The sequence below is a fragment of the Homo sapiens genome, chromosome 2 (assembly GCF_000001405.40).
Source record: "Homo sapiens chromosome 2, GRCh38.p14 Primary Assembly".
Lineage (NCBI taxonomy): Eukaryota > Metazoa > Chordata > Mammalia > Primates > Hominidae > Homo > Homo sapiens.
The window spans coordinates 85,690,700-85,701,510 of NC_000002.12; the positions used below are offsets into that span (position 1 = coordinate 85,690,700).

The following is a 10,811-nucleotide window of genomic DNA, read 5'->3' on the forward strand; positions in this document are numbered from 1 at the left end:
CCTGGCCTCAAGCCATCTTCCCACCTTGGCCTCCCAAAGTGCTGGGATTACAGGTGTGAGCCACTATGCCCGGCTTGTTTATCCATTTATTTGTCAATGGACACCTGGGCTCTTTCCATCTTTTGGCTACTGTGAATAATGCTTCTATGAACATTGATGTACAAGTATCTGTTTCAATCTACTTTTATTTCTTTTGGGTGTCTACCTAGGAGTGGAATTGCTGGGTTACATGTCTGTGAACATTCTTGTATAAATCTGTGTATGTAGAGGTGTTTTCATTTAGTTTGGGTAAATACATAGAAGTGAAATTGTTGAGTCACAGGGCAGGTGTACGCTCAACTTTCTGAAAAACCGTCAATCCAATTTTCAGTTATTAGTGTTTTATATTCCCACCAACAATGCTTAAGAGTACCAGTTGCTCCACAGACACATCAGCATTTGGGTTTTCTGTCTTTTTAATTTTAGTCATGTTGATGCATCATCTCAGTATAGTTTTAATATAGAATTTCTTGGCCAGACGCAGTGGCTCATGCGTGTAATCCCAACACTTTGGGAGGCTGAGGTGGGTGAATCACTTGAGATCAGCAGTTCAAGACCAGCCTGGACCAAGATGGTGAAACCCCATCTCTACCAAAAATACAAAAATTAGCCAGGTTTGGTGGTGTGTGCCTGTAATCCCAGCTACTCAGGAGGCTGAGGCAGGAGAATTGCTTGAAGCCGGGAGACAGAGGTGGCAGTGAGCCGAGATCACGCCACTGCACTCCAGCCTGGGCGACAGAGTGAGGATCCATCTCAAAAAAAAAAAAAAGGAATTTCTTTGTGATTTACGATGTTGAGCAGGTTTTCAAATGTTTTGGTCATTCTTATCTTCCTTTGCGAATTACCTGTTCAAATATTTTGCCCATTTAAAAAATTGGATTGCTTTATTATTATTATTGCAGTAGCAGTTGATATAATAAGGAGTCCGTAAACAGACCCACAGTCAATTGATATTCAACCAACGTGCCAAAGCAATTCAATGGGAAAAGAAAAATCTTTTCAAGAAATTGATATGAAGAAACAAAACCTCAACCCAGCTCACACTATACATTAATTTGAGATGAGTCATAGACCTAAATGTCAAAGTTAAAATTATAAAAGTTCTAGAAAAAAACATAGAGGTGATTTTTATGATAGCGTAAGTGAAGATTTCCTGAAGAAGATACAGCAGGCAATATTTCTTTTCTTTTCTTTTTTTTGAGACGGAGTCTCGCTCTGTCGCCAGGCTGGAGTGCAGTGGCGCGATCTCGGCTCACTGCAAGCTCCGCAGAAGGCAATATTTCACAGAGGAATTCTTTGTGGGCCTGGGCCTGACTTGCAATGGGCCAGTTCCTGGGGTACCATGGGTGGGAATTGGGTAAAACTTACCCCAGGTTCTTATCACACGGGACCCCAGAGGCCTGGGTGGAGGCTTGTGACTAACTACATGAGCTTTGCCACGTACTCCTCAATACCTCTGACAAGGACTTACTGCAGTGTTTGGTCTCACCAAGTTTCCCACAATAAAGAGACATGAGTCACCTTTCAAGACCCTTTACCCCCAAGAATGTGGTCTTCACACATGAGACCAAGGTCTACAAGTGGTCAGGAGAGAGGGGGTCTGCTCAGATGGGGGAGTAGTGCCTGAGCTGGCCTCAAGAGGGTTAAGTGGCCCTGCACTGAAAACCTGGACACTGAGTTAGGGTAGGGCTGGGGGAAAACTTGGGCTTTGGAGTCGTAGGGTCTGGGTTCAAATCCACAGACCATTCCCTTCCTAGCTGTGTGTTGGTGGGTAATTCACTGGATCTTTCTGAGTCCTGGTTTCCTCATCTGAGGTAAAACGAGTTTGCCGGTTGGTCTGAGAGCTGTTCTAGGCATGGTGGGGAGACCCTGACAGGCAGAGGCAGCCCTGCTCTCAAGCAGTTGATTTACAGCTGGGGAAACAAGACAGCCACAAATGCAATACCTCAAACTCAACTTCTCACCAGAAAGCTCCTTTTCCTAATTTTCACAGCCAGTCCCTCAGCCTCCTGGGCCCCAAATACTAGTAAAACCTTTGCCTCCTCTCTCTTCTTTCTTTCTTGTAATCATATAGGTACAAAGTCCTACCAATTCTTCCTGAAATATGTTTCCTTATCAAAAAGTCCTGCAAAGCCGTGCGTGGTTGCTCATGCCTATAATCCCAGCACTTTGGAGGCTGGGAGGATCGCTTGAGTCCAGGAGTTCGAGACCAGCCTGGACAACATATGGAGACCCATCTCTACCAAAAATTTTAAAATCAGCAGGGGTGGTAGTGGCAAGCACCTGTGGTCTCATCTACTTGGGAGGCTGAGGTGGGGGGATTGTTGGAGCCTGGGCGGTTGAGGCTGCAGTGATCTGTGATTGCACCACTGCACTCTAGCCTGAGGTACAGAGCAAGAACTTGTATCAGAAAAAAAAAAAAAAAGTCCTGCGGTAGCTGACACTGCCATTGCCTATACGATTCCCATTCCCTCATCCTCCCTAGCAGGATATCAATTTTGTTCGAAGTGTCAATGAAGGCCAGGTGCGGTGGCTGATGCCTGTAATCCTAACACTTTGGGAGGCCGAGGCAGGCGGATCACCTGAGGTCAGGAGTTCAAGACCAGCCTGGCCAACATGGTGAAACCCTGTCTCTACTAAAAACACACAAATTAGCAGGGCATGGTGGCGTGCACCTGTAATCCCAGCTACTCAGGAGGCTGAGACAGGAGAATCACTTGAACCCGGAGGTGGAGGTTGCAATCAGCCAAGATCACACCACTGCACTTCAGCTTGGGTGACAAGAGTGAAACTCTGTCTCAAAAAAGAAAAACAAAACAAAAACAAACAACAACAACAAAAAGCAAAGTGTCAGTGAAGGTCCAGCAAAAGACTCCCTTCCTATTGCCCTTTGCAGCCAGGGTCATCATGTGACACAGTTCAGATCAATGAGATGGAGGCTGAGGGTCCCTGGGAAAGATGTTTTTCCTATACAGGTACCACCTCTTTCAGCTTCACTCTTTCCATTTTCCACGTGAACAGGCCTTGTAGCCTGGAGGAGCTACAGCTGCCTTTTTGAGATGCTGAGGCACCCTGTCTGAAGAAGGCCCTCACATCACTCAACTTGACTACTGGGTGAGCCCTTGGAGAGGCTTCCCAGCCTCTGCTCTTCAAGCCGAAGTACCACAGGGGACACGAGTCCCAGAGTTACAGGACCCCAGCTATGGTTCATGTGTAAAGGGAACCATTAGGCAACCAGGGGAAATGATGAAGAAGATCTACATTTACAAATGTGGAAAGATGTTCGTGGTATATTGTTAAATTAAAAAGCTGTTTAAAAATAGTTTTTGGGTCAAGTGAGATGACTCACTTATACTTTTAGTATAAGTATGTCCCATGCAATATCTGGAACGTACTTGTACTAAGGGGTTTCTCCCTCCATCGGCACATCCCAGGCATCCTGGCAGCTGCTGGCCTCCAGCAACCCCACATTCTAGTTGTGTGGGAGTGGGGTGTGGCATGGACCCTGTGGGCTACCACTGCCCTGAGCTGCTTCTTCACACACTGGTATTTGTATCTGTGGTAAACCCAGTGACACGGGGGAGATGACATACAAAAAGGGCAGGACCTGAGAAAGATTAAGCTGCAGGCTCCCTGCCCATAAAACAGGGTGTGAAAGGCATCTCAGCGGCTGCCCCACCATGGCTACCTGGGCCCTCCTGCTCCTTGCAGCCATGCTCCTGGGCAACCCAGGTAAGGCCTTCCCCTCGGGATCGATCCTGATGGCCCACCCAGCCTCGCACTCTCAGGCTGGCTGAACCTGGAGCTTGGACTCTGTGGGCACCCAGGTGCCCCTGCCTCCCCCCGGCCTTCTCCCCCGTCATGGAGGCCTGGCCTCCCCTCAGAGCCAGGCTTAGTCCAGTGTGCTGCCCAGCCTGTCACTGGCCTGGCCAAGGAGGAGAGACAGGCCAGGGATTCTGGTCCTAACTCTACTGGCCACACTGTGTGGCCTGAGACCCCCCTTTCCCTCCCAAGCCCCTGCCTCCGCATCTGCGTGGTGAAGGCCATTGGCCCTCATCGGTGGATCTGCGTTTCCTCGGGCCTACACTGTCTAGGATTGTGCGGGGCTGGTGAGAGAACAAGATCTCTTCTGTGTTCAAGGCAGACTTCCTGCCCCCTGCACCCTGCTCTCTCCCAGGCCTTGAGGTCAGTGTGAGCCCCAAGGGCAAGAACACTTCTGGAAGGGAGAGTGGATTTGGCTGGGCCATCTGGATGGAAGGTAAAAAAAGAAAATCCCTTGAAAGGAGATTGAGGGAAGTTTCTAGACAAACCGACCCCCAAATCTGTGTTGCTGGGGGAACAGAGGAGAAGAGAGAGTCTCGCCCTCCTGGCTTTCTAGAAGGAACGTGAGAACACGTGTTTGTGCTGAGAGTGGGTCAGAGCGGCTCCAGGGCAAAGCATGTGGACAGGTATCCTGGCCCCCTGCAAGGCCCAGCTCCTGTCCTAGGCCCTGGTCACCTCCTGGACTCCCACCAGCCAGGAGAACGGGCTTTCCCTCTCCTTCCGCCTGCGGAGGGGAAGCTGAAGTCTGGTCTTCCTCAGGTCTGGTCTTCTCTCGTCTGAGCCCTGAGTACTACGACCTGGCAAGAGCCCACCTGCGTGATGAGGAGAAATCCTGCCCGTGCCTGGCCCAGGAGGGCCCCCAGGTACGTGTTGGCTCTCTGCTCACCTGCCACAGTCCCTCTCCTTTCCCTCCTCCCTGGTGGCTCCTGGGGTGAGGTCTGGAGCTCTCTAATGGTCAGGAGGTGGGAGTGGAGGCTGGGCTGTTTCTGACGATGCTGGTTTTGTTGAATTCATGTCTGGCCAGGAGGGCTACAGGTATCTGGCAGACTCCTCCAGGAGGATCCTCTGGGGTCTCACCCTCCAAGGAGCCTGGGGCTGCAGAACCCAAATAGGCAGACTCCCCTGGGAGTTCCTCAATAGGAGAGGGGCAAGTGCAGGGCTGGGAAAGTACTGGGGGTGTGGGAGGCTGTTTCTGGGGTGTCTCAGAGCCTCTAAGACAAGCAAAAGGGTGGGCAGGGGCCAGGCAGCCAGTTCAGGCCTTCAGTGTATCCACGCTCTGGGAAGAGATCACGGACATTCCTGCCGGCCTCAGAAACACAAAGGGCCCCTTTCCTGGGCACTTTCACGCGCTCCCAGAGTGTCTGAGAGACCATCATAAGGGCTTTCTTTCCTGACAGGGTGACCTGTTGACCAAAACACAGGAGCTGGGCCGTGACTACAGGACCTGTCTGACGATAGTCCAAAAACTGAAGAAGATGGTGGATAAGCCCACCCAGGTGAGGCCAAGGGGCTACAGAGCCTCCTGTCTGCTGCTCAATGGAGGGGCCAGCCTGTGACCAGGTCGGGGATCGGGGAGCCCGGGGGCACCTTGCACAGTGATCCTGGGGGAGGGCTTCCTAGAAGGGAATCTGTGAGTCCCCGTGTGTCTGTGGATGAATTTCAGAGAACTTGTGAAATTGTGACTCTCTGGAACTGTGTAAGTCAGACGGCAGAGTATACATGGTTTTCATCATGTATCCTCAAAGAGGGCTTGTCCCAGAGAAGTTAGGAATCTTCCCCTAAAGCCCTAACATTTGTGTCCAAGGCAGAGTTTGAGAAGCTAGTTCCCCAAGAGGCCTGGGTCAGGACTGATAAATCCCAGATCTGCTACTTCCAAGCTGCATGGCCTTGGGCAAGTCACTTCCACTTTCTGAGCCTCTGTTATCTTATCTTTGAAATGTGATGGATAATAGTCCCTATCTTGCAAGTTGTCAAACCCTTTTTTTTTTTTTTTCCTTGAGATAGGATCTTACTCTGAGACCCAGGCTGGAGTGCACTGGTGTGATCTTGGCTCACTGCAACCTCTGCCTCCCTGGCCCAAGCAATTCTCCTGTCTAAGCCTCCTGAGTACCTGGGGCTCCAGGTGTGCGCCACCATGCCCAGCTAATTTTTGTACTTTTGTAGAAACAGGGTCTCACTGTGTTGCCCAGGCTGGTCTCCAACTTCTGAGCTGAAGCAATCCACCTGCCTTGGCCTCCCAAAGTGTGGGATTACAGGCATGAGCCACTGCACCTGGCTGCTGAAGCTTTTTAAAAGAGCTGAGGGCTGGGATGTACTTAGCTCCACGTCCAGCACTGAGTAAATGCTTAACGAATGACTGTGTTACTACCAAGAATTATTGTTTCACTCTCCCTCCTTCCCTCTCCTCTGCTGCCCCAAACTACTCAGCATCCTGGCACTGCAGGCTCGCACTTAGCCCTGGATACCCAGATTCATCCTCCTCCCCTGGGATGGCATAGAAGAGACTTTAAAACCAAATGAGCCAAGACTCCAAGCTCTGACCACACCTCCCACCCCACCAGTCTTCTCTATGCACCCCCTCTATCTGGAGCCCCCAGCCAGGTCCTGGACCCAGGTAGCTACATGGCAGAGCATTTAATGTGTGCCTGGCAGCCATGGGCACCATTCTCCACACAGAAGGCAGGGGACAGGTGCACAAGGCGCTGAGACCCCAGCAGGGCTAACTGTCCTTGTCTCAGGAGCCCTACCTGGCCAGTCTTGGGCCAGGCCTTGGGGACTGGGAGTAGGGGCTGAGCCCCGTCTGTACAGTCTCTGGCCCCATGGGCACCAGGTGCCAGCTCCTCGCACCCAGTACTCCCATTGCTAGGGCTGCTGGAACCTGCAGGGTGGCAGAGCTGGGCAGGACTCACCCTATAACCATGTCCACTGTGGTGCTGCTGCTGCAGAGAAGTGTTTCCAATGCTGCGACCCGGGTGTGTAGGACGGGGAGGTCACGATGGCGCGACGTCTGCAGAAATTTCATGAGGAGGTATCAGTCTAGAGTTACCCAGGGCCTCGTGGCCGGAGAAACTGCCCAGCAGATCTGTGAGGACCTCAGGTTGTGTATACCTTCTACAGGTGAGTGCAGAGGTGACAGCAGGGATACCTCCTGAGGGTTGGAGACAGCTTCCCCCAGGATATATCAAAGCTGCCTCCTTACTCCCCCATCTCCCAGCTTGGGAAAGTGTGGAGAATTGAGCAGATGGACTTTAGCTAGAAATGTTTGAGAAATACTGATTAGAGCTTGGGCTTCAGACACAGGTGGTCGTGGAGTAAAATCTGGTCTCCATCTCTCCCTGGCTGTGTGACCTTAAGCAAATAACTTGACCTCTCTGAGCTTCAGTTTCTTCATCTGTGAAGGGGAGATAGCAATCCTGATTTTTGAGATTGGAATGAGAATTGAAGGAGGTCACCGTGTGTGTGGACCTGACCCTGGGGAAATGTCCTCAGACTGAGGCTATTCAAGGTCATCAGACCCTCAGTCAAACTCCAATCCCAGCCCAGCACAGGCCCCTGGGGTCGGGAGCTGGGGCCATATCCTCCCCCACAATCCTGGGCCCTGAGATCTGGGCTAGGGAACCCTTCAGGCAGGGGAGCATGAGGCCTTTCCCTCCATGGCTGCCCAGGCTGTGCCTGGAGAGAACAGATCTCGGCTGTAGGAAATGGGGCCAGAAAGGGGCCTCGGTGATTGGCTCTGGCAGCTCAGCTGGCACTTGCCAATGCTCTGGGATTTTATGCTGGCAGATCGGGGGTCCCCACCATTTCCTGTCATTGGAGCTTGTGGCTTTTCTATTCAAGGCCCCACAACCTGCTCAGGCTGCCGACTGGCTTCCAGGATGTGCCTCTGGGTGTGTTCAGTAGGGTCAGGTGGCTCTGGGACCTTAAGCAAGTAACATTCTGAGTGCCTGCTTCTCCTTGAGGACCCACCACATCTGCCCACAGCTGGCTGTTCTCTCCTCTCCAGGTCCCCTCTGAGCCCTCTCACCTTGTCCTGTGGAAGAAGCACAGGCTCCTGTCCTCAGATCCCGGGAACCTCAGCAACCTCTGCCGGCTCCTCGCTTCCTCGATCCAGAATCCACTCTCCAGTCTCCCTCCCCTGACTCCCTCTGCTGTCCTCCCCTCTCACGAGAATAAAGTGTCAAGCAAGATTTTAGCCGCAGCTGCTTCTTCTTTGGTGGATTTGAGGGGTGGGTGTCAGTGGCATGCTGGGGTGAGCTGTGTAGTCCTTCAATAAATGTCTGTCGTGTGTCCCATACACTGTTGTAGATGTTATGGATTTAGTGGTGAACGAGACAACCTTAACAGCATTCACACAGTTAGTCGTGAAATGCTTACTGAGCACTCACCACAGCCATGCGTTATTCAGAAAGGCCAAGGCACACAGTGGCGATGTCCCCAGAAGCTCTCAGACCAGTGGGATAGACCAGCAGGGTTAGAGGTGTTTTTGTTTTGTTTTTGGTGAAAAGGAACAGAAACCCATCCTCTTGCTTCTTGCGACAGGCAGCCTTCCTTTGCGGTTTCGGGGGAGTGTATCTTTTAGGGCCCTTTTGGTTGCAAGCAACAGAAGTCTCAGCCCATTCTGGCCTAATCAAAAAAGATAATTTACTGGTTCAAATAATTAACCAGTCCACGGGTATGTTCAGGCACAGAATGATCCAGAAATGTGTGGCGTCAGCAGAGCCCCAGTCCTGTTTTATTGCAATTTTTCGTTCTCCCGACCTCTGTATATTGAAATTGTCTTCAGGTTCGCTTCTCTCTTGGCAGCAGAAATGGCTTCATCAGGTCCACACTTCACCTCTTTACAGTGCCTCCATCAGAGGGAGAGAGAGCTCCCTTGGAAAGAAATAGGAAGCTTCTTTCCCAGAAGGCCTATCAGCTATCTCCTCAGTTCTCATTGGCCAGTTCTCACAGGTCATTTGCCCACCCTCAGACCAATCACTGTGTCCTGGAGAATAATGGGGTACACTGATTGGCTTAAGCTAAGCAGGGCACACCCCTGGAGCTGAGGTGGGGTCCATCTCAACCCAATCACTTGGTTGACAATAAACATGAAAATCTGGGCTACTGTTGGTGGGAAGAGGGAAAAATGGATGCTGGCCACCCAAGGAGTATGGTGTGTTATTCTGGGTTCAATCAAAGAAGCTGTTCAAGGGGACTACCGATGGCCAAATCTGGGGCTATTTGAGCCTCAGAATAGATGATGACAAGAACAGATCGTAATCCATTGAATAAAGCAGAATCCATGAATTCATACAAATACAAATAATACATGAATAAATAAACAAGGGAAAAGGAAACGTGCTACCTTACAATACAATTACAGTTAATAAATGTAGACATAGTTGCAAAGTATATCCTACTAACATATTTGGTATAGTGAGTATATCATATACTAACTTGATTTTTTAAAAGTGTTTATTTATTTATTTATTTATTCTTTAGAGACAGAGTCTCACTTTGTTTCCCAGGCTGGAGTGCAGTGGCCCTTCTCAGGCATGATCTTAGCTCACTGTAGCCTCAAACTCCTGGCCTCAAGGGATACTTCCACCTAGGCCTCCAGAGTAGCTGGGACTACAGGTGTGCAGAACTGCGCCTGGCTCACTAATTTGATATTAATTAATACATTCCATTATTAGTTAACCTGACAGTGGAGAAGCCTGTCAGCTGATGAAAGTTACTCCCACCTCCCATGGGGCAAGTCAATATCATGGGCCTCATAATATAATGCTCTGAGAGAAATATAATACTACTTTTCCATTGTTCCTGCCGAAATGCAAAAATCATGAGGAAACATCAGAGCAACTCAAACTGACATTTTACAAAATACTTAGCATATCCTTTTTTTAAAAATTTTTTAAAAATTTTTTATTTTAGACTGAGTCTGGCTCTGTCACCCAGGCTGGAGTGCAGTGGCACGATCTGGGCTCACTGCAATCTCCGCCTCCTGGGTTCAAGTGATTCTCCTGCCTCAGCCTCTGAAGTAGCTTGGGATTACAGGTATGTATCACCACAGCTGGCTAATTTTGTATTTTTTATTAGAGAAGGGGTTTCACCATGTTGGCCAGGCTGGTCTCAAACTCCTGACCTCAAGTAATCTGCCTGCCTTGGCCTCTCAAAGTGCTGGGATTACAGGCGGGAGCCACTGCACTCTAGCCTGTCCTCTTCAAAAATGCCAAGGTCTTGAAAGACAAGTAAAGATTGAAGAACTGTTCCAGATAGAAGGAAACTAAAGAGACATGACAACAAATTGCGACACATGATCCTGATTTGGATCCAGACCTATAAAGAACATAATTGGGGCAATTTATAAAATGTGACTGGAATCTGTGATGGTAATATTCTGTTAATGTTAATTCCTGATTTTGATGGTTGTACTATGGTTATGTACGGCAGTGTCCTTGTTAGAAAATATACACTAAGGTATTCAAAGAGTAATAGGTCATCATATCTGCAATTACAATTTCTGAAATGATTCAGAAAAAAAGGGAATACATACGCAAAGAATGAGTGTGATAAGGTATATACCACATACATGCAATGTGGTAAGGTGTTAACAGTGGAGAATCCTGTTTAAGGGTAAATAGGGGCTCCTGTTTACACTGGGAGGTTTGGAAGGTGTAATCTCCAAACTCCATGGCAAGTTGCAAGAATGCAACTTTCAAACTTCATGTTGAAATGTGATCCCTGGCCGGGCACAGTGGCTCATGCCTGTAATCCCAGCATTTTGGGAGTCCTAGGTGGGTGGATCACCTGAGGTTGGGAGTTCAAGACCAGCCTTACCAACATGCAGAAACCCCATCGCTACTAAAAATACAAAGTTAGCCAGGCGTGGCGGCACATGCCTGTAATCCCAGCTACTCGGGAGGCTGAGGCAGGAGAATCACTTGAACCTGGGAGGCCGAGATTGCGCC

The 10,811-nt window shown here is 49.7% G+C and overlaps 1 protein-coding gene across 6 annotated transcripts; it reads left to right on the forward strand.

Moving 5' to 3' along the window:
• The first annotated feature begins 3,658 nt into the window (after nt 1–3,658).
• On the forward strand, nt 3,659–8,153 carry GNLY (granulysin). 6 transcript variants are annotated; one of them, NM_012483.4, is made up of 6 exons: nt 3,659–3,771; nt 4,054–4,297; nt 4,621–4,724; nt 5,259–5,357; nt 6,807–6,978; nt 7,865–8,153. In NM_012483.4, exons 2-6 carry the CDS (start codon nt 4,291–4,293, stop codon nt 7,873–7,875), a joined length of 393 nt encoding a protein of 130 aa, NP_036615.2. In that variant the 5' UTR covers nt 3,659–3,771; nt 4,054–4,290; the 3' UTR covers nt 7,876–8,153. The 6 variants fall into 6 exon arrangements, with proteins under 6 accessions (NP_036615.2, NP_001289687.1, XP_005264141.1 ...); NM_001302758.2 differs by having other exon boundaries at nt 4,217–4,297; XM_005264084.3 differs by lacking the exon at nt 6,807–6,978 and having other exon boundaries at nt 4,217–4,297.
• Nucleotides 8,154–10,811: the final 2,658 nt, after the last annotated feature.

Coding starts and splice junctions, on each gene's coding strand:
- GNLY (XM_005264084.3), top strand. CDS start 3,720: ATGGCTACCTGGGCCCTCCTGCTCCTTGCAGCCATGCTCCTGGGCAAC. Junction 4,298..4,620: donor CTGGGCCATCTGGATGGAAG/GTAAAAAAAGAA, acceptor GGTCTTCCTCAG/GTCTGGTCTTCTCTCGTCTG. Junction 5,358..7,864: donor TGGTGGATAAGCCCACCCAG/GTGAGGCCAAGG, acceptor TCTCCTCTCCAG/GTCCCCTCTGAGCCCTCTCA.